The sequence below is a fragment of the Homo sapiens genome, chromosome 15, assembly GCF_000001405.40.
Source record: "Homo sapiens chromosome 15, GRCh38.p14 Primary Assembly".
In the NCBI taxonomy this organism is placed as follows: domain Eukaryota; kingdom Metazoa; phylum Chordata; class Mammalia; order Primates; family Hominidae; genus Homo; species Homo sapiens.
Genome location: NC_000015.10, coordinates 60,707,594 through 60,735,540, shown reverse-complemented (window position 1 = coordinate 60,735,540; position 27,947 = coordinate 60,707,594). Strand labels below are relative to the sequence as shown.

General features: G+C 41.7%; 1 protein-coding gene across 2 annotated transcripts in view, besides 4 other annotated features; it reads left to right on the top strand.

Moving 5' to 3' along the window:
• RORA (RAR related orphan receptor A) overlaps positions 1-27,947 on the top strand; it is a 741,019-nt gene that overhangs the window by 493,762 nt on the left and 219,310 nt on the right. The gene's annotated exons all lie outside the window — the stretch shown is intronic.
• Positions 14,182-14,291: an enhancer, noted in NCBI's record as "active region_9516". NCBI's record gives its function as "activates an Ori minimal core promoter by ATAC-STARR-seq in GM12878 lymphoblastoid cells {active_cell/tissue: GM12878}" and the evidence as "EXISTENCE:reporter gene assay evidence [ECO:0000049][PMID:35858748]".
• Positions 14,322-14,411: an enhancer, noted in NCBI's record as "active region_9515". NCBI's record gives its function as "activates an Ori minimal core promoter by ATAC-STARR-seq in GM12878 lymphoblastoid cells {active_cell/tissue: GM12878}" and the evidence as "EXISTENCE:reporter gene assay evidence [ECO:0000049][PMID:35858748]".
• Positions 14,882-14,931: an enhancer, noted in NCBI's record as "active region_9514". NCBI's record gives its function as "activates an Ori minimal core promoter by ATAC-STARR-seq in GM12878 lymphoblastoid cells {active_cell/tissue: GM12878}" and the evidence as "EXISTENCE:reporter gene assay evidence [ECO:0000049][PMID:35858748]".
• Positions 14,972-15,021: an enhancer, noted in NCBI's record as "active region_9513". NCBI's record gives its function as "activates an Ori minimal core promoter by ATAC-STARR-seq in GM12878 lymphoblastoid cells {active_cell/tissue: GM12878}" and the evidence as "EXISTENCE:reporter gene assay evidence [ECO:0000049][PMID:35858748]".

The window sequence follows — 27,947 nt, the reverse complement described above, 5'->3', positions numbered from 1 at the left end:
GTGGTAGGCTCTCAGCAGCGCATCTGGTTTTATTTCAATTAAGTAGCATTAGTTTCTATCCCTAAGTAGCAAATTAGGCAGTTACGATGGAGGTGTCATATGCTTTCCCAGGTACAGTTTAGAATGATGTCTACCACAGATTTAATAACACTTGCTGTTCTCCCTCTTCTTAAAAGAGCTACAGAAATAGTGTTTGGCAATATTATATAAAAAAACAACCTTTTATACAGCAGCTATGTTTAGTTAGGGGTCAAATAATCCTTTGTTCAGTATGTCTTGTCACAGATGTCTTTTATCATAAGCAACAAATCTTTCTGTGTTGGTGAACATCTCTGAGGCAGATGTCCTGTGACCCAGGGTGGAGGTTTATTCTTTGTTCTGTGATATATTTGCCTTCTCTTGAATTGCAGGCTCAGTGACTCAGCTTCTTTCTCTCCTCTGAAGAGATGTCAGTGACTGTTGTTTTGCTCTCTGATGCTTTGTACTTCACAGAGATTTGCTTTTGTAAACTGCATGGCTAAGGTGCACACCTTAAATAACACCATTAAATAACTCTCTTTTATACCCAACTGTGCTGCCCATGGTTGTCTGCAAGTCAAGTCTGAGTGCAAATAGCAGATAAAATGAAACAATAAAAGCAGGCTAGAAACAAATAACAGATTGATGTATTAGAAATGCAGGAAAACAGTTTAGTTAGCCATTGCCAAAAGTATCACAGAGATTTCTAGCCCCATCTGTCACTTCAAAGTCTCTACATGATTGCCGTTACATTTACACCATGCTGAATAGTCTTTTGGAAGAGTATACTGTATCTTTCTGCAGCATGTTATCAAGGTGTGGATCTCTCTCAAATCAGGGAAACCTACTTTTCTGTTAAGTGTGTGAAAACAGAGAAGTACCCACGCAGGACATGGAGAGGTCGGGGTCCCAAGAAATCTAACAGTGGGCCATTATGTTGGTGCCTGTCTCCTATTTACAAAGACAAACTTTCAGCTCCACAGACTCAAAAACGTGTCTTGTCTTTGCAGTGTTCAGAGATGAGAGAGCAGACTCAAATCTCTCAAGCTCTCAAAACTGATATATAAAATAATCATTCCTGTGTTAAAATCAGAATATTACAGTGTTTATTTAAGAAGAGAGATTTCTCCAGCTGTTTTTTCAGTGGAGCTCCAGATGTGGTAGTTGGCTTGTGTTTAGGGTAGTGGTCCCCAAACTTCATCGTGCATCAGAATCACTGAGAGGCCCCATCTCCAGAGTTTCTGATTCAGTAGGACTGGGGAGAGACTCAGGTTTGTATTTTAATAATTTTCCAGGTGATGCTGATGCTGTTGGCTCAAAGACCTCAGTTGGAGAACACTGATTTAGGGGTCACATTGAATGAACAGCAGCTGTAATTAACACTAAAAATCCTGCTGAGCACAGAGAGATGTTCATCTTCTGAGAAGCTCAAGAGGCTGATGAAGGATTAAGAGTCACCTCTCTCATCTCCATCTCACTCTCTGTCTCTCTCCTCCCACTCTGCCACTCTGTTGCCCTCTTTTCATTTCTTATTCCTTTCCTCATTCCCATCTCATTCCTTTCTCTTTCTCTCTCTCTCTCTCTCTCTCTCTCTCTCTCTCTCTCTCTGCCCCTATTCTAACCGCTCACCTGTGTGCAGATAGTTGGATACACATAAGTTGGGCAACTCAACTTCCCATCCACTGGGAACAACTGATTGGGTCCTTAGGCCTGAAAAATCCTAGCAGGCCATTGCCCACGTTTGTTTCCATAACTCTTTTCTCTCTGCTCCCATGGCCATGCTTGATTATCATACCTCCTTCTGATGGATTTGTAAATTCAGGCAGCTTCCAGTCAAATTTTGCCTTCCAGAAGCTCAGTAAAGTGACTTTGCATATCTCTGCCATCCCCTTTTATGGGAGATCATACAGTTTAACTTTCAGATCATGGTCTTTTTTCTTCCTCAGTACTTATTCATGGGGAATATCCTCTTTAATCCCCCAATATTGACAACATTAATATTTGCATTTTAATTAAAATCTAAAGATCTCACGTCAAAGTGTGTTATTTCCTTGGTATCTCACAGTAACACTGCTCACTCTTCAGTGAAGTCTGGCATGACATGAGTTGCCTCAGCCCACGCAAAAACTGCATGCCCTGGGGATTTACCCACACAGACTGGTCATACTCATAAGTAAGATTGGCATTTGTGTCCTCCACTGTCCTTATTCCCATCTCAATATTGTGCCTCATTTTTGGCCTCTACAGTCGGTAGTTTTTACTAATTCAAAGAAATCACCCCAAGAAAGCAGGGGGAGAAGATTGAAATATGAGTAGGGGAGGAGGTTGAGAAGGACATTGACTAATGCATTTCCTTATTTACCTCCATTTCCAAATTTAGGGAACTCATAAGAAGCATAATTGAGTCTCCAACTTATGAAAGTTCTGAGCCAGAATTCCTCCAGAGGAGCAAGCTAATGCCATCTTGGCAATAAAGGGGCCGGCCGCAGAGCAGGTGTGTGCTTATTTTCCACACGGTCCCCAAGGCCTAATGTTTATGAGAGTGTCCCTTTCAAAGACGGAGATTTCTGTCAAAAGAAAGTAGTTTTTGTTTTGAAAGAAAATACTATGATGGGGTATGGGGCAATATTTGAATCTGCATCTCTGAAGGGTGATAACAGGATAGTCTTTATAGAAGCATGTAAGTGCACGTGTGTGTGCGTAGCTGTAAGTATGTGAGTGTATGTGGGTGTGTGTGTGATTGTAAGTATGTTTAACTGTTCACGTGTCAGGGTATGTAGGGTTGTGTAAGTGTTCATGTGTTGGTTATGTAAAGGGGGGTGTGTGTACACGTGTGTTTGTCCACGGGTGGATATGTACGAGTGATTAAGAGAGAGAGAGAGAATGAGAATGATTATCACATCTCAGACAAGCTGGAAGGGCTTGCTCAACCTCCCTCTGACACAGTTGAACTAAGCTGGCCAAATCAGGTTAAGGCTTTCTAGATTAATTTGCTTAATTTTTTTGAGGACAACTTCTACACTGAAACTCCAAGTAAGCCTCCTGAAATGTGGTGGTAGATGTGGTGTGTCCTGAGCTCAGGGAACTGGCTGTTTGCTGAAGATTTCCCACAGAGAGAAAAGCTTTGGCCTGACTTCTGCACAGGCACCCTGACTTTGCTGCCTCTCAGGAATCTGGAAGGTGCTGGCTCACCCGCACCTACCTTTCCATCTTATATAATCCAACAATTTGACACTCACATCCTCTTCCTGTTAGATTCAGTCTCTGTTTTCCTTGATGGTTACTATATTTTAAAATGTTACATAGTATTTTTAGATAATAGAACCTTTTAAAAATAATCTAATTTGGGGGTGTATATGCAGAAATGGCCCTATCCAAACAAGACATTTTAAGGCAACGTCTTTTTTAAATTCTTGAAAACTCTGTGTACCCAGCATCTGCTAGAGATGCATCCTATTCCATAGCACAGTTGATTTAGATGACCATTCAACTCAGCCTCTAAGAGGCTGGTTACTCAATGCTCTCCCTTCGCCTATTCGGAACTTCTAGCCTGGTATGGCAGGATCCTAATTCATTAGCTAATAGAGACCTCCTATTTTCCCTGGGACGTGTCCTCCTCTGCAGATACTTGGCTGAAAAAGAACGCTGACAGCAACTTTAAGCTTATGCAATTCATGTCTACTTGTGAAATTCAAACTCATGGCTGCTAATAATGGAGATGATGACTCCCATGACTGAATAACAAACTGTATTTCATTTTGGGCACTAACAGCAGTCAACTGGTAGTGGCTGCCTGGAGTACCAAGAATGCCACAATAGATTAGTGATGTCTGCTGTAAACAAGGAGTGGGAGTGTTGGTGTGCTTGCTCTACTTGCTTCCTCTGTTCTAGTTCACCAAAGAAACCACTTACCTTTCTAAAAAATATAATGTTATTCACCTGAAGTTAACTTTTCCTCTTAGCAGTTGGGGCCATCTCTAGGCAGGGGACTGATTCTTCGGCTAATTTGGAATCCTTGCTGTTTTGACTTTTTTCTGTTTTCTTCCTTCAGTACATCTTCTCTATTTTGTGTCTGCCTCTCCCTAGTGTCAGAATCTTCTTTCACCAGAAACACTCAGTGTTTTCAGATGGAAGCATGGTTTCTGGAAAGGAAAGCATCCCACAAACTAAATGGTTGCTAATCCCAAACACATATGCATGTTTAAAGAGAAGGCTTAGTATTGGCCATGTTTAGACCAAAGGAATGAATTTTTATTGGTGAAATTCAAGTGTATTGTTTGGGGGTTTGGGGCATCATTCTTTTCTAGACACACCTGCTTAAATGACCTTATCCACCATCACTGACAGTTGTTTACTCCATATGGCTCACCAAAGTTCACAAGTTTCTTGAGTTAAAGATGCTGGGCTGCTTTCCTGCTTACTGGGTTAGCCTCAATATATGACAGATTATTATTAAGAGGCAGTGAAGGTGGGAGGAAGGAGAAGATTAGGAAGAATAACTAATGGGTATCAGGCTTAATACCTGAGTGATGAAATATTCCGTACAACAACCCCCCGACACATGTTTACATATGTAACAAACCAGGTGTACCCCTGGACTTAAAATAAAAGTATGTTTAAAAAGAAACAATGAAAATACTGTCCTGTCTGTCAAAAAAAAAAAAAATTCTTTTCCTATATGAATAGCTCACTGAGATTTTGTTGAGACATAAAGTTTTCATATTGTAACATACCTTTCTATTTATTCCTTGTAAATACTAAACAGTGTTAGAAAGTAACCAAATATAGATATATTGACTTGGAAATGAATCCATGATATAGTATTAAGTAAAATGAAATGATCACAGGAAAACATGCAAAGAGAAATACAAGTGAGCACACACATACATGCATCTGTATTTAAGCATATATTTAAAGCACAGAAAGTAGCCTAGAAAATGTTATATTTAAAAGTTTGACCTCAAAAGAGAAGAGAAGGATTAAGGAATGCAGGGGAAGTGAAAAGCTCCTTTGATTTGTATTCTACATACTACTGCATTTTTTAAGATTTTTCCAGCCAGCATGTATTATTTCTGTATTTTAAAGAAGGAATGGTTGGTTTAAATTAATTGAACGATAAGACAACCACAAAAGAAATCAGGCTATGAAAGGTTAAGACCATTTGGCCAAATTCAGTTCTTCAGAATGAGAAGAATGGCATTTCCTACGGTCCTTGGTAACCTCAAAGTTTCCAGCTGCTAACAGTCACATCCGAGTGTCATGTGTGCACACCTGAAACCGTGTGGGAGGAAAGCCGTCTTCCTGTATAGAGGAAGACCTTCCAGCATCATCTAGTACAGATCTTCTCCTGCAGTCAACTGAAGGAAGACAAGATGCTTGCAGCCTCATTTAGAACTGTGGACTATTTAAAAGTGATACCAAGGTCTGCTTTTGAAAACTCCTTCCCCAACATTCGCTGTTTACTCTTGTTCATGGTTTTATTTGTGCTGGCGTAACAGGAGATAAATGTAAAAAGGGACAAGGGACAAGTCGTGAGAAGAACCACTTTGATTCAGTGCTGCTAATGTTGCTATTTCCAGAAATGGAACCAGAAAAGAAGGAATCTAGCAATTTTTAAAAAAACTAAATCTATTGTCCACAACTAGCCTTAAAGCAGAGAGGTAAGATATTACATAGAAAATACCATCCCTAACCCTGACTACATAAAGTATAAGTTGGATTAGACTTCATATTTTAGATTTAATACACAGAAGAAGAAATCAACTAACAACTGTATAAATGATTACAATCCAGTTGGGTTGGATTCAATGCCATTTGTTGGCACAGGTCTTGCCTCAGGACAAACCTACCCTACCCAAGGTAATACAGACAGGGTTCCTGTCAGAAAGATCCCTTGCACCTCACTAAAATTCCCTCTCATGATTGTATTTAAATTTATTTGCATAATTCATGAGAGCTTTATATTGCATATTACATACTCAGGACATTGGGAGTCTGCTATTGGTGAATTCTAACAATGGAGAAAATGGAGGCTCAGGTACATAAATGGATTTGTCCTAGGGTACTACATTGAGTGACTAATCTGGGACTAGAATCCAGGACTCCTGACTCTGTTGTCCCCACTTCTCCTAAGGTGGAGTTTCTTTTGGCTAAAGACTCATCTCCAGGACACTCTTTTAAAATATGTATCACTGGAGGTTGGAGTAAGGAAAGTGATCGAAAGACTGAGCATTTCCAGTTAATGTGTTGTCCTCTTTAGTGGCATCCATGAGGCTCTTTGTCAATGAAGTTTTGATGGAGCAGAACAGAGGTGGGAGGAACTCAGAATATGGGGTGGGGTGGGGGGATGTGAGAGGGAACCCAGTGTTGGGGCCTGCCTTCTCAAAGCAAGGGACACCAAAAACGGGGAGGTAAATATCAGCATCAGCTTCGGCCTTTCCTATTGGCTTCCAGCTCCTGTCCTGCTAGTGGTAATTACACCTAGAATAAAACCCCAACAAAGGGAGTTGTAAATATCCCGCCTATGGATATAACAACGTATTAGCTCTGTGTTCAGATGGGATAACTCAAGGGGAGACCTCTACCAGATGCAATTAATAATATCTTACATTTATATTATAATTTTATTATTGTATAAAGTTTTTAAAAATCTGCACCTTTCTTATAGTACTTTTCGCACTCTGACTTACAGTTGAATTATATGTAAATGTGAGTTACCTCCCCTACTACACTTTAAGTTTTTTTTAGGGCAGGATCTGTGCCTGGCTCACCTTTAGGTGTTGAGAAATGAATAGCACTTGGCATATACTTGTTGCATTAATGAATGGAGCAGGGATGTTTCTGCAGATCCTTTTAGTGTGTTTTACTGGTAAATGCATTTTACTTATAATATTTTTTAAATGGGAGACATAATCTTTTCTTCATTTTTAATCCCCTCATTCAACTTTATAAGTGAATTGTGTGTCTCTGTAGGTATTTTGGATGAAACGAATGATGATTTACTTAGTAGGGATATTTTTAAGTGGAAATGAACTAATGTCCTATGTTTTTCTGTGTTAATGAGCTGTAACTTGCTATTCAACTGAATAGGTAACTGAAGAGGAGCAACCTAGTCCCTACACAAGCAGGGTCAATATAATTCCTATCCTGTATTGTCTAGGTCCAAGGGTGAGTTGGGAGGATGGGTATATTGCAGATACTTAATATTGTTGAACGGTAAGAGAATATTTGTCTCTTGGTTATGGATTCTGTTTACAAAGCAAAAAAGTATTTTAGCCTGGGTGACATAATGAGACCTGATTCTAAAAAGGTAAATAAATAAAAAAGCAAAAAGGAAGCATCTTCTTATCTTGTTAAATTCTACATGAAGAATAGTCACCCGGATGGGAAGTAGAAGTAAGGTTTTCAGTTCCAATAACATGCAAGGAAAAATGGAAAAAATCCTTTGGCATTCGTTCTTTTGATACAGAGGAAAAATACTAGGCTCAGTGTTTCACAAACCTTGGTGTCCCAGTCTCCGAGTTAAAGTGGGGATGTAGCCCATTGTGAGCAGGTAGACCTTTCAGATACGTCCACTGTGTATTTGCCAGGAGGAGGTGAAGCCAGGTCCAGGAGTGCATTCAGAGGAGACGAATACCTTCAGAGCGCTGTGAATGTCAGGAGTGAGTGCCCGTGAACCTCTCCTAGAGTTTCACTTGGCAGGCAGGTGCCCCATTGAAACTATCTCCCCAGGGATCTCATGGGATCTGAGATCCTGCTCCTTCTCTTACTAGGTGGGATAAGAGCGATGGCCGGTTCATGTAAGGACAGGGACAGATTCTTTTCACTTTCACGCCATTTTTTTTTAAAGTCCCAAACAACCTGTTCCAGGACCTTCTCCCTTCGTGCACTGGTCCCAGTTGCTTTGCCTCCAGATACCCTGGGACCCCTGAAATCTATAACTGTCTGCATTCTTTCCTTGTTCTGATCTGTGCTTAAAATGTTCTAGTTGACAGTTTAGAGCTTTGGTTCATAAGGGATCAGCTGTCAGCGAGAGGAATGTGAGGCTCTTATTGTGGATGGGATTTGAGCAGAGTCCATCTGAATCCTTGCTTTTGTCTGGAAACGTTAAGAACTATTACAGCAATGTGTGCCCTAGGAGTGTAGGTAAATCTAAGCAGGGGTCTGTTCACTAAGGAAGGTATGTTGGGAATTCAGTGGGTTTTGCAACCGTGGGATATTCCAAGTCATATTAAAGGTTAAAAACGAGCACAGGGAAGCAATTGCAAAGAAGGGGAAGGAGGCACAAGAATGGTTGACTTTTGAGCTATTCTTGCCAAAAAACAAAACAAAACAATAACAACAAAAAATGAAAGCAATGGGTGAGTTCAATGAAGCAGTGGACTTAGCTGAGGGCAGAAATATTTGTCTTTTTGGTTATGAACAGCAGTGTAATCCCTGGGCTTGCTGGGGACAAAAACCAGCAAACCTGTGTGAGCTGCTGTTTGTGAGGTGTTCACAGGAGTTTGCGATCAAAATGATTGTGAATGTGAAAGTTATTACTGCTCAAAAAACACTTTATATCAGGGTTAATTATAAGGAGATTCTGTAGTATAATTAGTGTTCTTTCTATTGAGGATTAAGGGCCTCTCCTAAATGGCCTTTTTGATTGCCTTCTTCCCTTTTTTAATTTCCTCCTTGTCCTTTTTGATTATCTACCCCACGACCCTCAGGGCTCCTCAATGTAATACAATTAAAATAACATTTTTCTGTTAGAGGGTTTTATTTTATGAGCTATTAACCCCCTGCTTGCCTGAAGTCTGGTTTAGTCTCCCCGCATACCCACCCGCCCCTAGACACAGTGGCGCGTCTGCAGCCCCACGGGAGACACATGCAGACGAGGCTGTAGGCGGGGCCTACGCAAAGCAAAGCTGAGGAACTACCTTGGTTTGGTCTTTCAAGAGATGATTGGATGCTGATTTTCCAGCAGCAACGAAAGGGAAATGAGTCCTGCTGGCCCAGCTGGCTTTCACGTAAGCTGGAGCCTGGGTAATACAACCTTGTCCCAATTCTGTTTGTGCCCTGTGCTGTGGCAAACTGCCTTGCACACAGTAGGTGCTCAATACTGGCCTTTACTGACCTGCTTAGGACCATTTGCCTCCTTTGTTTTTGCAATCCCGAGACAACAAAGAACGCAGACATTTCCACTTTCCTTCTCCATTGGTCCTGACCCCATTCATTTCTTAGACTTGCCAGCATGACCTCTTATTAACCTTCATTTCCTTCATTCTGAGCTTAAAGGGGGATTCTGGACAGTGCATGCAGTGAAAAGTGAAGGTGACTCTGAAAGCAATATAGGGGAAAGAGTATCATTTTGGAGTCAGGTAAACCCGGAGTCACACCCCAACCTCATCACCTAATAGCTATATGGCCTTAATTATGGGTAGAAGGGGAGGCAGCATTATGTCAACATCTGAGGGTTATGCAGATGTTAAGTGAAATCAGGTGTGTAAATCATTTAGCCTGGTACCTAGTTGATGTGGTGATTCAAAAAATGTTGTGTGCCCCCCAAACCACCACCACTACCATTCACCCCTTGCCTTTCTTGCCTTTACCTTGTGACCAGAATTTCTACAATTCTGACCAGAATTCTGCCTGAAGACTGCTCTATATGGCCTCCCTTCCACTTCACTCGTATGACTGACCCAGTGGAGGACATTTAATTAGATTTATTTGAGGGACATAGTCTTTGATGAAATTTCATGGCCTTTACTGAAGCACCATGGAACCAGTTCTCAAGTGACTAGATCCCGAAAGGCACAAGTCACAATGATCTCTTGTCAAGAAATTTCCATGGGAGGGGGTACAAAAAAGAACAAAAAGAATAAAACAGTATTTCACAGCACAGCAGGGTGACTAAGGTCAAAATAATTTAATTGTATATTTTAAAAGAACTAAGATTATAATTGGATTGTTTGTAACACAAAGGATACGTGCTTGAGGGGGTGGACACCCCATTTTCCATAATGTGATTATTACTTATTGCATGCCTGTATCAAAGCATCTCATCTACCCCCTAAATATAAACACCTACTATGTACTCATAAAAATTAAAAATTAAAAAAATTTTTCCATGGGCGATAGAAACATGGGTGCCATGAACTAACAAAGCAGGAATTAAATAACAATTGAGCACCATGATGCATATCACTAAGTTACACATGATTAATAAGCAAGTAAATAGTCCAGGTAATAAGAGCGCAGAAAATATAGAGAAAGACCCATGTGAGAGTGGGAAAGAGAGGGGTGCTGGCATTGTGCTAAGCTGAATCGGGGGAAAAGAAGACATTGAAATGCCTAAACTCGTAAGATAATTAAAAGTGTCCATTCCAATTCTGAATGTGGCACTTCTGAATATGGTAAACTAGATTGAAATTAAGTCAATTTTATAATCGCTAATCAGAAAGACCTTTTTCCTTGTAAAATGTGCTTTCTGCTTTGATAAAATCTGAATGCATATGCTTTACCATTCACAGATTAATAGTTGTTTAATTTTAGAAGCGTCACCTAGACAGGTAGAACTCACCAAACATAGGCAGATGAAGCTACAGAGCTATCATGAAGGGCCCAGTGTGAGGAGCGGGGAGGAGGGAGCCAGGACCTGGGAGCACCTCTCTGGGAGGGTGGCCAGAAGATCTCAGGCACAGTATTCACCGGAAAGTGGTGGGACCCTCATTCATTCAGTCAACCCACACCAGCCTTTCTTAAACACCTGCTATGGCTCATGTATGCCTCCAGGTACTCAAAATTAGAAAGTGAGCAAGACCCACTCTTTTCTTAAGGAGCTCGCCCTCCAGAGACACAGTACTCAGATATGGGAGCTCCTATTAAACCGGCCACAGCATCAGAGAAGATGGGGCCAATATTCAAGAAGTTCCCTAAGACTAGGTAGGACACAGCATCGGAGTCCTAAAGTCAAACAATAGGGAAAGCTACTGAGTCCGAGCAGGAAGCAATGGGCTTCTGTCCCATCAGGAGACCTGGAGAGCCCGAACACCTGGATAAAACACAAGGAGCCGCTCCACATTCAAAGTGTATGGGTTCAAATCTTGGTTCTACCACATACTAGCATATTACATAAGCTCTCTGTGCTTCGTTTTCCTTTACTATGATAGGGATAATAATTGTAACAATCTCAAAAGATTATTATAAAGAATAAACAAGAAAATACATGTAAAGTGCTTGGAACAGTACTCAACACATAGGAGCCCTCAATGAAAGTTACCTGTGATAATAAGAATTACCATCCTTGTTATCATTGTTAGTGATCTAGCAGGGTAATTGTATTTATCCTTTAAGAATTTAGACCCCTTTATTTCCCAAGAGGATTTGAGGTGGCTTATAATACCACATAGAGTATCCAAGATAAAAATTCATGAATAAATCCGGGTGGAAAGAAAACAAAGGTAGGAATCATAACATGAAGCCAGAGGTAAAGTCAGTATACAGATTGCACACTATCAGATTTGGTACATTTGCTAAGCCTTAAGGGAATTAACATCTTTACCTCAAGCACTTAGTTTCTCTAAGATAAGGTCAAGGGCTACAGTGTTGACCGTGCCACACAGATCCATCTTGTCTCTGGTGCACTGAAGAAACCTCTACACAACTGCACATACTCCAAACTTTTTCCTTTCTCTCACCCTCCTTGTGGATTGAGAGCTTGCCTTGGTCCTTCTTGTAGCCTCCAAGCCCCAAGAGCAAGATCTTGCATGTAGTAAGCACTCAATAAATACTTCTTGATTTGTTATTTGAATAGATGAATAAATGGATGTGTGGATGGCAGGATGGATGGATGGAGTTGTGTGTACTCCTGGCTAGAGTCCTAACTGTGACTCTGATAAAGTCTCATGAGTTTATTCCATATTTGTTTTAGTGTGAAAACCTCCAGGGAGGATTATTTGCAGATAATCTATTGTTTATTTTATTTAGGGGGATTTGATGTTTCAAATCATTACACTGAGAAAGTACTCAACTAGTTTAACTTAGTTTCTCCTTTGCTTTTTCCCTGCGCCTTATGTGCCCTGAGGGGAATAATTTTCAAAAAAAAAAGTAATTTTCCACAAATTTTCAAAGAACATGGCCATTTTATGTGAGTGGGGGGGGGAATGGTTTTGATAGGATCACATTTGTCAATCTCAACCAGTTTTGAGATGATAAACAGTCTATTTTTCTCTTTCAGCAAACCTTTTTCAACCTATATGCGCATCGAAACTAAGGGTAGCTGCTATTGCTAAAATAAAACTTTATATGTTAAGCCATTTATTTATGTATAATGGTTAGCCTTTTTATAAAATCTAGTTTTGACAATATCTTTCTTGGATAAGGAGTCCCTATGTATCATTTAAATAATACATAAAATTCTTATGTATTTTTATAATTATTGAAAATAAGTGAAGTTCAACTGTCTGCACACCCTTGAAAATCTCAGCAGCCTAAGGACAGATCATCCAGAGAGCTGGGGTTTCTTGCAAGCTAGTTTTTTTCTATCTTTGCAGAGATCTGGTAAGAAGTTAAACTCAAGGGTCAGTGGCAACATGCTCACCTGCAGGATTACTTTGGCTGCCTGACTCACTGCACCCTGACCACTTCTCTGGGAAATAGACTTGGTGTTTGTGAGACGTGGAGAGGGAAGGATGAGAAATGGGAAGGAGGGTCTTCACATCTTGTGTTAGAAATGTTCATCAGAATGACAGGGTCTCCACTGGCCAAGGTTGTGGTCCTCCTTTCCAGTATTTTTCTTGGATGACTACAGGACAAGACTGGCCAGGAATAAGCAGAGTCCAGCCTTGTTTGTGAGATCTGGCACGGAGCACAGATCAGGGCAACAAGAAAGCAAGTCCAGGGAAGTCAGCTGAACCAGAGAAGAGCAGGTGGACATGATGTCCTTAGGTGGGACTCTTGATTGTTCTGAAAGACAGCTTTCTGCTGGTGTCAGCAGCCTGTTGCATGTGGGTGATCCACGTCCCTCAGGGGCTAATCAGAGCCAGAGGAAGGTCAGAGAGCTGCACGTAAGTCCTCTACACAAATAAGGCAGAACAGAAACACTCTGTTTATTTGTACATATGTAAAGATAAAAGTTCTAAGAAATAGTGCAGTGAGTGATGGGGGAAGGGTGCTGCTATTTTAGCTGCACCTTAATTTGTGGGGTTATCTTTGTGATTTTATTTCCTCTTCAGTTTCACTCACTGGAACACAAGCTCAGTTCTTTAATGACATATAGAGAATTTTATGTACTTATGTGAATGATGTACCATATGTTGACAACACATGGAAGTCTTCTTGAAATTCAGAACATAAGAAAATAAATAACAAACTGAAAGGGAAGAGAATGGAGTTAAGGGAGAAAAGGGCAGGAATCAATAATGATAATGTGAACTGATGTTATTTCTTTGATAGGTTTTCAGTAGAAAAGGTATTGGTATAGTTTCAGTAATTGTGATCATTTAGACTCTGGCTGGGCTAAATCTGTGACAAAATGATTTGCTAAGCAAATGAATACAGGCATAGTTTGTTTAAACAATTGATGTGTTTCTAAAGGGTTGGTTGCACGCCGTCTAGGGCGAGTCCTTGAGTAAAATGAGTCACCATCCAGTAAGGAATGGCCCTGAAAGAGACAGACTTGGTCTGAGGAGCAGGCACCTCTTACTAGAGATGACCCTCTGCAGAAATAATCTTTGCTCAAATTGCAAAGTGTTTTACTTTTTGTTTTCATAAAGAAGACTGAGCCCTGATTTTATCTGTTTTAGAAAAGCTCCATATATAAATGTTTCCTATATCTGGTTTGTGCAAAATAGCCTTGTGTATTGAAGGTGTAAATAAGTTTTCCAGCCATTATTTTTTCTTACTAGAAGAGAAACTTGTTTACTAGCAGTTAAGAAATAGCTATTTACCAAGTTCTTTGAGGGTACCCAGGTCTGCCTGCCCCACGGCACTTCATACTGTGAATTCCACATAGCAGTACTCAACAAATCTGGTCTGTATGAGTAAATAAATATATACTTAAATAATGTGCATGAGAAAACATAAATAAGAATATTATTGTAATGGAAGCCCAGCCTTGGTCTCCTCAGGGAGGTGCTTGGCTATTGTGGTTTCAATTTCCTCTTATCTATTTGTGACTTAGAACATACACTAGGCAAATTTATTTGTCTAGCTCTTGAGACCATGTGTAAAATAACAAAACTGTTTTCTGATCACTCTGATTTTTTGTTAATTTGGACTGCTCTCCCCGCCCGGCAATTGGTGCAGCTTAATGAGGTCATTTTTGTGGATCCACCGATCTCTCTGCGAGATGTTTAGTCAAAGAACCCACGGCCTCTGTTTCTCTCTTCTGCCCCTGACTCATTCCATGACCTTTAAAACGAAGGCATCGTTACCCCAGGAAAGGAGGTTGTATTGATTGCACTTGAGAACTGAGGTTTCTGTGTTTCTCTGTTTGTTTGATTGATGGTGGATGATGCAGGGAAAACAGTGTGCGGGGAGACTCTCAGGTGTGGGGGCAGGAAGTAGTAAGTTCGAGAGTACCACAAAGTTCTCCAGGCTGAACCGAGAGCTGGCTGGGGGTTTTGGTTACATTGTGCTTGAAAGCCCTAGGAAGCCCCCAGTCGAAATATGGCAAATTCAAATGCAAGGAAAGCTGAAGAAGTCATACCCACAAACTCTGGGAAATTACAGCCGCCCGTTATTAGTCATTCTTACGGGCAATAGAGAGTGTTGTTTTAAAAAATTCAAATCTGGTGCTATGAACAAAGACCTGTTCTTTCCTGGACCAGATAATCACTGCCAGGATCGATTCGAGAAATTAATAGGAGGCCTTGTCCTGTGCTGCCGGCAACTTTGTTTCTTGTCAAGTGCAGCCCTGCACACAGGTGTCCCTAAGTTCCTGGGGAACCATCAGCACCCAGAATACCACAACACGTCCTTATTTACACACAAATACTGAGTTCCTGAGGCAAGAGGGAAGGGCGTGACCATGAATGGAAGTAGCCACCAATGAGGATGGTTAAATGTACCCTTGATAAAAGGTGACTGGGTTCGTTCCAGTATTTTTATTGGACAGTCTGGGTTTTTCAATGGTTAACTTAGATTATGTTAGCTATCGTCTGCCTCTTTCTGCTCGCATTAAACTTTACAACCCAAATAGGACTCTCGCATGCCGTCTTGCCGTCAGGGCGAGGACTACATCTTGTGGGGTGAATGGAGGCATCAGGCTAGCTCCCGTATCACAGCCCATGTATTCAGGTGTGTTAGGCCTTAAGGGACTCAAGAGACCTTCATGGGTGTGAGATGCTGATCCTATGTCACAGAAGAAGCACCTAGGGCAGGTCATGGCCTAGTGTTTACAGTAACACACAGCAGTATGAGAAACTCGATTTTAGGCTCCTGCTTCCTGTTTAGTGCTTCTTCCGTCTTCAAAATGCCGCCTCTTTCTATTTTATGACAAAGACTGGAAAAGGAACAATAAAGGCTGGGAGGTGGGGCTTTGTAGACTTGAAATACCTCTCTAGCCAGGTGGTATATTTTGCATTGCTGAAAGGCAACACTGCAATGTAGCTACGCCCCGTATATTTAGAGCAAGCTAGCTTCTTCTGAAGCACACAACATGTTTACCTGTGAACCTCCACCCCCATCCCAAAATCAATTTTTCCGGTACCCAAGCACCTCCACCAACCCTTGAAGTAGGAGTCTGCAAGGTGAATTTCCTAACAAGCTGACTTTTCAAAGGTTTTTCAGCTCTCAAAAACATGAAAGCTGTGTTTAAAAATTTAAGGGTCTGATATGTACCAGTTCTGTGGAGCAGCAGCAGGACGTAGCTTTTTGCAGTGCCATGATTCCCCAAACCCCAACTCTTTAAATTAAGATGTTTATGACAGCTGCTTGTGCTTAAAGGAATGCACATAAGATTGGCCATTAATTACTGCTCTCGGGTTTTTGCACCTATTCTCTGCATTTCACGGCAAGAGTCAGTATTGTTGTGTAAACTATTTTTAGTGCTTTTTAAGAAACCCTATATTTTGTGGTTTTGGATTTTTAATCTTTTATTGTGAAAATTTCCAAAAATACTCAAGTTGAGAGAAAGTGCAGTGCTCCAGTGAACCCATCATTCAGCTTCAATGACCATCAACATTTTACCATCGTTGTTTCACTTACCCCTCCTGCTAACACACACACACACATTTTTTTATTTTGCCGAAGTATTTTAATGAAAATCTCAGACATCATGTCATCTCAACACTAAATACTTCACTGTATATATTTTTAAATATGTTTATATAACTATAATGCCATGATCAAACCAAAAGAAAATTAATAATTCTTTAATGTTATATAATATTGAGTCCATATTCAAATTTACAGTTGATTTGATCAAGTAAAGACCCAAACAGTTTTCATCAGGCCTTTTGCATCTTTAACTAGAAATGCCACACACACACACACCCCCCCCACACACACACACAAAGCTGATTGATTATCTTTTTAAAGAGCTCAAGGCCAGTCCTTGAACTCTGACCTCTACACCTCACTTTCAGAACGGCACGGGAGCCTGTACTAACCAGAAACTTTGCCTAGGTAGTAATACAGAGCTCTGTGTCAATTGTGGAAATCCTTCACCTTTTAGAATTATTTTCTTGTGGTAAATATTTGTACAATTCCTTTTGATTTTCATCAGTGAAAGGCACAGGGTCTTGATGTGCCTTTGAGAGATCCTTTTCCACATATTAATGACTTCCTCATCTGCTTCCTGCCAAGTTTTGTACTTTGGGTTAGAAAGAGGTCAAGACATGGATGGTTAGATGAATTCCTTGTTACCCGAGCTTTGTGTATTAATTTCTCACTACTCCACTCTGGCTCTAGTTAGTCTTTTAAAGTCAGTTTGCAACATGGTGACAATTTTGACAGGAAAGTCAAATTTAGCTAACAACCGTTATTCAATCGAATGTGATTAAACCACAGACGGATACCTTTCATTCATTTAGCCAGAAAACCTTCTTATAGAGTGTTTTTTCTATTCAATTTGTAAATCTAACGTTTTTTCATTTACCGGACTCATTTTTAAAAGTGAGGAGTGACCATTTTCTAAGTGAATGTCTTTAACTCTCTGCTGTCACCTTCACTTTGAATTCCCCAACAAGAAAACCACCTTTAGAATGTTGGCAGGTGTGGTGTTTGCTTCTGAATGCAGCATCAGGGATGAGATGGGAAACTTGAGCATTCTAGCACGATCCTTCTACCAGTAACTGATGAACTTAGAAGAATAAAAACTCTGCCCAGTGATGTCCAGACCATCATTTCTTTTGCCTATATGTTGAACTAATTTTATTATGCCAACTGTACCATAGTGACATAACTTTGCTGTTACGAAGGTCCTATCCGTAGAACACCAAATCTTAGAATGAAAATGCAATGTGCCTGTAATCCCAGTGCGAGGCCAAGGTGGGTGGATCACTTGAGGTCGGGAGTTCGAGACTAGCCTGGCCAACATGGTGAAACCCTGTCTCTACTAAAAATACAAAAATTAGCTGGCATGGTGCTGCATGCCTGTAATTCCAGCTACTCAGGAGGCTGAGGCAGGACAATCGCTTGAACCCTGAGGGTGGAGGTTGCAGTGAGCAGAGTTCACATCTTTGCATTCCAGCCTGGGTGACAGAACAAGACAATGTCTCAAAAAAAAAAAAAAAAAAAAAGAGAAAAAGAAAAAAGAAAGAAGAAGATGTGACCTTATTAATCAATTATCCAGAGTTTTTCTACCTAAACTCTAGCTAATCTGGGAGCTGGTTGCATTTGGAGATTTCATCTGTATTTTTTATTTATTGTCTGGCACATAATAGGGGCTCAGTAAAATGTGTTAGTTAATTAATGACAATGCCAAATATACCAATTTAGGAGTGATGACAGAAGACAAAAAAACATGATAAAGGTTTTATAACTTACTGCCAAGAAAGGAAGATTGTACCTTGCCTTCTAACTGCCAGTGCCATAGGACTTTTATTACATGCTATAGGTATTACAAGCTATGCCCTCAAGTCTTTCCTGCTGGGACCATGGATGAAGAACTGACTTGGGGCATGATACTTGAAAAGAAAGAGAAGAGGGTGCTGCTGTTTGTTGAATGGTTGCGTACAAGGCACTGTTCTGGGTGCTGTACATTCTCTCATTTATCTACCATAACAAGCTCAGGGGTGGATTTCCACTTTGGGAAAAATTCTCAGAAACTGAGTTTTCCCTCTGCATACATACCACCACAACAATAATCAACACAGAAGACTTCTGTGACCACATGCGTGGGAGTTTTTCCCACACACCAAGTAACAGACACCATCTGGGTACCCTTCCATTCAATTCTAACACTGTTTACCTGGAGATATTGTCAGATCCCACAGGTTGAAGGCTCAGTTCCCACAACTGCCCCCCATGCTTTCAGACACGAGTTGCAAGTCCAGGCCTCCAGAACGTCTGGCCAACCAGCTTTAAGTTGAGGGTCCCACCACCCTCTCTTTGGGTTCAATTAATTTGCTGAAGTAGTCTAAAGAACTCAGGAAAACATGTTTACCAGTTTATTATAGAGGATATTGCAAAGGATACAGATGAGGAGATGTTTAGGGTTAAGTATGGGGGAAGGGGAACGGAGCTTCCATGCCCTCCCTGGGGCACCATTCTCCAGGAACCTCCACATATTCAGCTCTGAACCCAGCCCTCCTGGGTTTTTATGGAAGCGTCATGATATCAGCATTATCTCTCTTCAGAGTATAGGGTGGGACTCTCTCTGAGGAGGGTCTTAAAACCTACAATCAGAAAGGTGGGGAAAGAGTAGAGTCCTGCTTTGGGGCAGGTGACTGTAGGGCAGGAGAAGATCAGAGACCTGTCCCTGAGGCCTCACACAATCAACATTATAACAAGACTGTAACAAAGGATATGGGAGTTATGAGCCAGGGACTGTGGATGAAAACCAATATATATGATCACACCACAGTATCTTAGCTCCATATTACAGATGTGGCTCAGAGAGAATTACCTGGCCTGTAAGTGGTATTGATGAAATTCAAACCCAAGTTTGCATGCTTTTCTCCCTGGACCAGTGCAACAGGCTGTCTCCTTTAGGTTTGCAACTGCAAGTGCATTCAGAAGAGAAGGAAGAAAGATGATACAAAAGGCGGTATCTCTGAAGGAGGGGAAGATTCACAGGGAATATGGCACCTCACAGAAGTCTACCATCCTAGCCATAAAATTGGCTGTAGCCCACTTCTTGCCCTAGTGAGAGAACAGTGTTAAGTGGGCTTGGTCTAGAATCTTGCTACTCAAAGTTTAGTCCATGGGCTGGAAGTTGTGGCATCACTCGGCAACTATAAGAAGTGTAGAATCTCAGGGCCCACCCCAGACCTACTGAATCAGAATTAGCATATTTAATAAGATCTCCAGGCAATTCGTATGCACATTAAACTTTGAAAAGCACTGGCCTAGAGGCTGGTGGGAAATGATAATTAAAGATGCTGACTGAGTAGTTCTAGTGTAGCGTAAGATCATTTGTGGGTGAAGGCAATTCTCCTACATTAGGTTGAGAGGAAGAATCATAATTTTTTTACATAATTCATTGTAGCAGAATTTCTCCCAACTGTGAATTTTAAGACTGATGACTTGAACTAGAAAATGGATCTTTCCTTCCCCTAACATTTTAGAGGGATTTTTGGCTATTAAATGGTGAGTGTGTTTGTGTACATGCATACAGTTGTGTACATTTACACAAACACAACTGTGTACACAATTAGAAAAAAGCTAGCTCATGACTTTCTTGGAAACTACTGTTGGGCACTGTTTGGAAAGCTAAAGGAACCCCAATTGTGTCATTATATTCCCTTTCTAAAAATAAGATTTTGGTGTTATTTTTCAATGTGCAGAACAATTTGTGCAATTTTTGTGAATGCAAACCTTCAGGAATGAATGAAGTTGTGGTTTTCATAGCTTTGTTTGTCCAGGCTTCTTCTATTCTCCTTAGACAATCTCCAAGGAACGTCTGTCATGAGGCACCACGTGAAGGTCTTTGGAGAAACACCATGAAAGTTGACCACCAGCCTGTCGCTGGGACACTTTGGAAGAAAGCTAACAAAGGAAGAAGATGTTTTACAGCTGACTGTGCCACATCATTGTGTTCAAAAAAGTTTCTCATTATTCAGTGGTTTCGAACTTCCACCACTAAGATTCTTATCCACTTTCATGCCTCTTTGCTTCTCACTATGTCCTTGTATGTTGGATTCCTGCTCCTTGTAGGTCTTCCCATGGAAATGATGACACATTGGGAGGTATGGCCAAGGCCCTGCATCACAGGCTGCTTGAGAATAAATCGGGTGTTTGTGTAGTTATTAAAACTCATCCTCTCTCACAAAAAGAGCTAGAATCAGAAAGTCTTACAAGGCCCAGCACTTTCCAACAGCATAGTCATCCAACCTAGCTATCAGAGTTAGCTTGGTGAGATGAAAAATTCATTTGATGGGAAGCCAAAAGACTTGAATTCCAGCCCCATCTTTACCCCTCACTTGATTTTGGTCATAGTCTCTCAACTCTCAGGGATTGGATGGCTCTTCTGTGAAAAGAGGGCCTCATACAGCCTCTTCTGGCCTTCTAATCTGAGGATGATTACATTATTCAGTCTATAAAATAATTTATAGACCACATTTCAAGTGCAGCAATGTTCTTAGATGGTCACACATCACATCAGTATATTTTCAGATTGAAAAGGCAGAGCCCATTTTGACATCCCAAGATCCCCCTTAAACACAAATTTTCTATGTAAGAAGAAAAATCCTTCTTTAAAAGAGATAATTGACCAGGCACGGTGGCTCACAACTGTAATCCCAGCACTTTGGGAGGCTGAGGCGGGTGGATCACCTGAGGTCAGGAGTTCGAGACCAGCCTGGCCAATATGGTGAAACCCCATCTCTACTAAAAATACAAAAATTAGCTACGTGTGTTGGCAGGTGCCTGTAATCCCAGCTACTAGGGAGGCTGAGGCAGGAGAATCGCTTGAGCCCAGGAGGTTGAGGTTGCAGTGAGCCAAGATTGCACCATTGACTCTAGCCTGGGGGACAGAGCAAGACTCCATCTCAAAAAATAAATAAATAAAAAGAATTGGCCAGATGCGGTGGCTCACGCCTGTAATCCCAGCACTTTGGGAGGCCGAGACCAGTGGATCACCTGGGGTCAGGAGTTGGAGACCAGGCTGGTCAATGTGGCGAAACCCCATCTCTACTAAAAATACAAAAAAGAAATTTGCTGGGCATGGTGGCATGCACCTGTAATCTCAGCTACTTGGGAGGCTGAGGCAGGAGAATTGCTTGAATCCGGGAGGCGGAGGTTGCAGTGAGCTGAGACCACGCCATTGCACTCCATCCTGGGCGACGGAGTGAGACTCTGTCTCGAAAAAAAAAAAAGAGAGAGAGAGAGAGAGATAATGAAGAAGGTGCTAATTCAATTTCTTCTGGATTTCTAGAGGCCCCGGTTTTGCCAAGTGAGAACAGTTCACTCATTTGAAATGACTAGAGAGCTTCACTTTATTACCCTGCAAAGTCTTAGCTTGAAAGGCTAGGGTCAGCAGTCTGCCAGTTGGCAGCTGTTACTCTGCGTTGCAGATCCTGTTGTAATCAGGTGCTTTCCTTAGAAAATTAAAATGATGATAGTAGTTTATATGTATTGAGCCCTTCATAGATGACAGGTTCCAGAACTTGGCACTGTTGTTAACTTCACTTTACTGTCATGGGGACTGTGGCATGGAGACGTTCACTTCCTTACCCAAGTCCTCATGGCTAGGTAGGGTGAATTGGGACTGGAACACAGACAGTCTGAGGATATTACATCACCTCCCTCCTGTGGGAATATTCCTAAGGGCTGAATATGACTTGGTTGAGGAGGAGAGAAAAGTGAGGAGAGTGGAATGTACGGGGGCGTGTATTTTTAAATGTTCTTTTAATTTTGGATCTTTTCCTCCTCGTTGCCACTGTTCAGTCTCAGTTTCACAAAACTCTTCAAATATCCATTCAGTGTTCTCTGAGAACTGGGAATGCTGACAGTAGGAACCAAGAATTTTAAGTACAGAATTAAACATTCCCTTTGTCTTTTTGCCAAACTGATAAAAGGCGCCATTGGTTTTCTTAGTGGGTAAAGTGGGGGTAGGAGGAGCTGAGGAGCCATTTCCTCAAACCAAGTGACCTCTTCAGCCTCAGACTGTGAAGGGAGGAATGACTTGCCAGCGCCCAGGTTAGCCGGACACCCTACTAAGGGGGAACATTCCTGGGCTTCTCTGGCATGGATTGCTGGCTTTATGACATTTGTTTTCTTTTGGAAGAAGATTATATTAATAACTATCATCTACATAATTTAGAACAATTTGGTATGATCTTTTATTGCCAGGGAAGCCCTGGCCACAGTCTGAAAAAAAGTAAAGGAAATGAAAAGTCTGTTTGCCTTGCTGATTAAGGTAACCTAAATTGTTGTTTTTTTTTCCCTGCTTAACCCAGGTTCAAAGTATTCGCTCTGTTGAATAGGATATGTGTCCAATAGCTGTGAGCAGAGAGAGGTCAGGCTCTCTTGTCCAAGAGATAGTATTTTCATCTTCAGGGTTTTTCTCCCATAGAAAGACAAATCTGTTCTAAGTCAAGCAACTGAACAACAATGTGAATTCTCACCAAGTGGTGTCATTGGTTCTGGCTGCTGGGGAACCCCGCGTCAGGGAAATAAAGAAAAGCTGAGCACCAGCAGTCACAAAAGCCTTCCTGGAAGCAGTAGGACTGTGTTGAGTCTTGTGCAGTTTGCAAGAAAGGCTTGTCTTCTGGCCTCGGGAACAAGTACCAGAGCTTGAATTGGGTCCAGTCCGTCATGTAATGCCTTGCAATACACTGGGTCCTATCGCAGATGACTGCAGAAGTTAGGTGGATACCTTAAGCTGTCTGGGTACATATCAAAAGGATAAGCCAAAATAAATCCAAACCATCATGCAAACCCAGTGATAAATGGCAACTGACACATGACCTTAGTTCCACTAGACAATAGAGAGTGCTGTGGGTTATGTTGACCAGAGAGTTTGTGTCCTGGCTAAAGATGGCAGTCACTCATTTAGACCAAATTTAGTTGTATAATGCAGGAACAAAGACCTTGTATTGCCTATTTTCTATATTCAACAAAACACACCTTTTTAAAGAAAACATCTAGATGTTTAAATGTTGGAATATACTTCAACTTTTTTAAAAATGTTAGACAATCACTTGTAATCCAAATAGAATATGTAGGGAACAACTGGTATACCACCTCTGGAATAAGTCTTCATCATCCCCAAATTAATGCAATGATATTATCAACATGTCCTATGTAGGATATGAGTCCCATTTGAAAGTATCAGCCACACTTGCTAAGATTTCTAATATTCATAGAAGAAAAATACACTGTCACTGACAATTCAGATTTCATTTGTTTAAAAAAATCTGTGTATTATTAGACTACGTATCACAAAATAGTTTTATTATACTGTTGCAGAAAAAAAGAATTGAAACCACTTCTATTATAATTTATAACATCTTGAGGGTGACTGTGGGAAGGCTAAGGAATTTGCTGTTTTATTATCATATAATTTGTTTCAGTAGCGGTATTTTAAATGTTGGATTTTCCTAGTAAGTCTTGGATGCAAAGGTGGGTTGCTGACAGGGTTTGAGAAACCTGGAGGTCCAATCAAAGGTTAAATCATCTTCCCCAAAAGAAATATCTTCTTTCTTAAGCCCTTGAGCTGAAGGTAGGACCAAAAGAGACAGAAGGTTAGAAAACTGAAGGATAGATGCAATCGAATTTATTAGCCACCATTAGGGGTGCTTCTGACAAGACAGAGGAAGGAGACCCTCAGCCTAGCCTCCTCTTCAACCATAGAATAGCACTCTAAAGGTAAACCCTTCTGGTTCACAGTGTGAGTGCGAGGAAGGAAGGATGCAAAAATGGGGAAGAAGAGCCACCTTTTATTACCCCTTACTGAAGTTGTCTTCTAATCAACTGCTGCCTGAAACTGTCCATCTTCTTGAGTACTGTAGGCAACTTTTTGATATTTATTCATTATACATTCATTTATTTAATAAATATGTATTGATTACCTGTTCTATGCTGGCAGCTACTTGGACAAAAAGAAGTTGGCAGCTAAGAAAGAAAGATATGTAGGCCTGGGCCTGCAGAAGTATGCAGTTTAGAAGTAGGAGTGCAGAGTGTCCATGAGTGACTAGTTCCAGGGAAAGTGAGAAATACACATAGCCTTGAGGGCACGGAGACTGTGTTGGGAGTTACTCAAAGCAGGGACAGGAGTGACCCGTCCTTATGAGGCCGTACAGAGGCAAAACCTCTTTTGGGATAAATGTGCCCAAATTGGGCTGCAGGGGCAGAGCAAGGCTGGAGAAGCTCTGATGATGTGGAGTTTAAAAAGCCCAGAATTCTAGTCTCAGCACACCACTTCCCAGCAGTGTTAAGCATGGAGCTTCCTTTCTCATTGCCTTGTCTGCCCACCTCTAAGTGCTGGAGTTGGAGGGATCATCTCTGAGGCCCCTTCTGCTGAAAGACCTACAGGTCCTGATTGTTTGTGTGCTCTGGAGCATAGAGGATTGGAGGTTTGCCTGGGATTCTTCATGCGGGGCCCTCCCTCCCTCTTCTGTGCCCTGGGACCAGTGTAGTAAGCAGAGCCCTGCTTTTCAGAGGCACCACAGGAGCTGTCCAGAAAGCCCACCAACATCATCCCACTGCTCAGGAAGGAAATTGGGTTGCAGCCATGAGAATGTGAGTAAATGCATGCCAGGTGAAGGCCACCCAGCCATTAATAGTCAACTTCTCATCACAGAGCTCTTGCCTGGGTTGAGACTTGAACATATCCTGCACCACATCTTAGACGGGTTACTTATCTGCACTCTGATTGAAGACTTACAGTGGCAGCATTGTCTGTTCTATTTTTTAATATAACTAATTCTGTTTTTTATTTTTTTGAGATGGAGTTTCGCTCTTGTTGCCCAGGCTGGAGTGCAATGGCGCCATCTCGGCTCACTGCAACCTCCGCCTCTCGGGTTCAAGCGATTCTCCTGCCTCAGCTGCCCAAGTAGCTGAGATTACAGTCATGCACCACCAGGCCCAACTGATTTTGTATTTTTAGTAGAGATGGGGTTTCTCCATGTTGGTCAGGCTGGTCTCGAACTCCTGACCTCAGGTGATCCACCCACCTCGGCCTCCCAAAGTGCTGGAATTACAAGCGTGAGCCACTGCACCTGGCCAACTAATTTTTAACATAAGGAGAAACCTGTCTTCCCAAGTCTAAGTGCAAGGCAAGATAGGGCTTTGTCCAGAGTGGCATAAACTGGATAAGAATCCAGTCTCTCTCCTATCGGGCCTCCAGCCCTGAGTGTTTCTGAGGCAGTGAAACCAAGGTAAAAACTCCTGACAGACCAGACACATGATATTCAAGTTACTACTTCCCTCCTCAGCAGAACTTTCAGCCCCCACCTTCTAAATGCAGCCACTGCCTCACATGTGGCATACAGAGGCAGGGTGGTCTAAAGCAACAGTCCCCAACCTTTTTGGCACCAGAGACCAGTTTCATGGAAGACAATTTTTCCACAGAGTGGGGCAGGAGTGTTGGGGGATGGTTTCAGGACAATTCAAGCACATTATATTTATTGTGTACTTTATTGCTATTATTATTACATTGTAATATATAATGAAATAATTATACAATTCACCACATTGTAGACTCAGTGGGAGCCCTAAGCTTGTTTTCCTGCAACTAGATGGTCCCATATGGGGGTGATGGGAGACAGTGACAGATCATCAAGCATTAGATTGTCATGACGAGCGCACAACCTAGATCCCTCACGTGTGCACTTCACAACAGGGTTCATGCTTCTTTGAGAATCTCATGCTGCTGCTCATCTGACAGAATCTGGAGCTCAGGTGGAAATGCTGGTTCACCCTCGGCTCACCTCCTGCTGTGCGGTCCAGTTCCTAACAGGACCAGTACCAGGGGTTAAGGACCCCTGATCTAAAGGAAAACAATGGGCTTTAGAATCAAAGGAGCTCGAGTGTTAATCCTCAGTCTGTTACTTCATAGATATCAGATTTTGCATCTTTGAGTTTCTTAATCAATAAAATGAGAGTAATGCTAATGGTTTCTCAGAGTTGTTGTAGAATTAAATGAGAGCTGTATAATAATACCAGGCACATAGTAGAAACTCAGTGAATGGTAGTAGCTGTTAATTACTGCTGCTGAAAAACTTAAATGTAGTCACTTCAAAGATATGTTTACATAAAGTTAATCAAGCTAGGGTGTGTTATATTGTAGAATCCCACCACGGATCTTTCTGATATAAGTTTTGGGATGTGTAGGCCTGGAGGAAGGGATGGAAAATCAATGGTTTCCTGAAGGCCTCTGGGATTTTCCCCATGCTCATGGGCTCAGGAGCTTCCCTAGGATAGGAATGACTAGCTGCTCACGTATTCTTTGCTAGCTATGCAGGCACTACATCAAGGCCTTGGTCCTGCGTGGCTGTGGTATTTGAGGTTCATAATAAAGCTGACTGTAGAACATGGATTTTACCTTATCATCAGTATTTGTTTTCACCCTGACCCCTGGATGCTCTGTTAGGGAATAGATCTGATTCACTTCCTTTTCAGCATTCTACTGCATAAACAAGCCTGAGCTCTGATATATAAATAATTCTAACTGAATACCAAACAGACTTAGCTGCTCTATTGCCGCTATACCCTGGGAACAGGGTTGGGGGGAAAGTGTAGGGAACTGAAAAGGCTTGGGAGGGAGGGGAAGATGTTAGGATTTCTATGAAGAGCCTGGGGAGTTAAATGCAATAATTTTTGTGCAAGTGTTATGGAAAATTCCTTCATAGCCCTTTATTCAATAGAAGCTATTTGTAAGTGTTTCTCCCACCCACCCTGGGACACACATACAGGCATAAAATGACAAAGAACTCAACTTCTAATGCAAGCCAGAGTTGAATGCCACTTGGATGTGATGTTGGTAACATTTTTTTTTCCTTTTTTTTTTTTTTTGAGACGGAGTCTCTGTTGCCCAGGCTGGAGTGCGGTGGTGCCATCTCGGCTCATTGCAACCTCCGCCTCCTGGATTCAAGCGATTCTCCTGTCTCAGCCTCCCAAGTAGGTGGGACTACAGGCACACACCACCAAGCCCAGCTAATTTTTGTATTTTTAGTAGAGACAGGGTTTCACCATGTTGGTCAGGCTACATTTTGTTTTAAAAAAGAAGATAGGTACCTAGGAGAGTCCTAGTTGGGCTATCAACACGAATAATACAGAGGGCTCCTCTATTGCCAGAATGCTAGGGAGCGGTTCAAAGGACCTAACAGATAAGCTCTCTATCCTGAAAACCCTAAACTCTAAGCCTCAGTCCAAGGAGGTGACAGTTAGTTTGGAAGGAGAGGCTGAGCATACATCCACAAAAAAGGCCTGCAAATGGGTGGTAAACATGAACTCAAGTATGTATACAATGTGTTCTATACAAATCCTACAGGGTGGCTGAGAGGAACAGGATGAGAAGCAGATCTGGAAGAACTTAGTATGTGCCCCAGTATTAAATAAGGGGAGAGGCTAAACTTAGAGAGTAGGGTGATATTCCAGGCTGGAGGATGGCCAGTGTACCAGCCAAGAACTGGACACAAATGGGAACTTCATGGAAACAGAGAAGAGCTGTGGGAGAGGAAGAGGTCAACGAGGTTATTAAAAGAGGATTTATGTCAGTGGGTGGACTTAAGGACCAGTTGAGTGGCTTCAAGAAATAGATGACCGTGGGCCAGGTGCGGTGGCTCACGCCTGTAATCCCAGCACTTTGGGAGGCCGAGGCGGACAGATCACGAGGT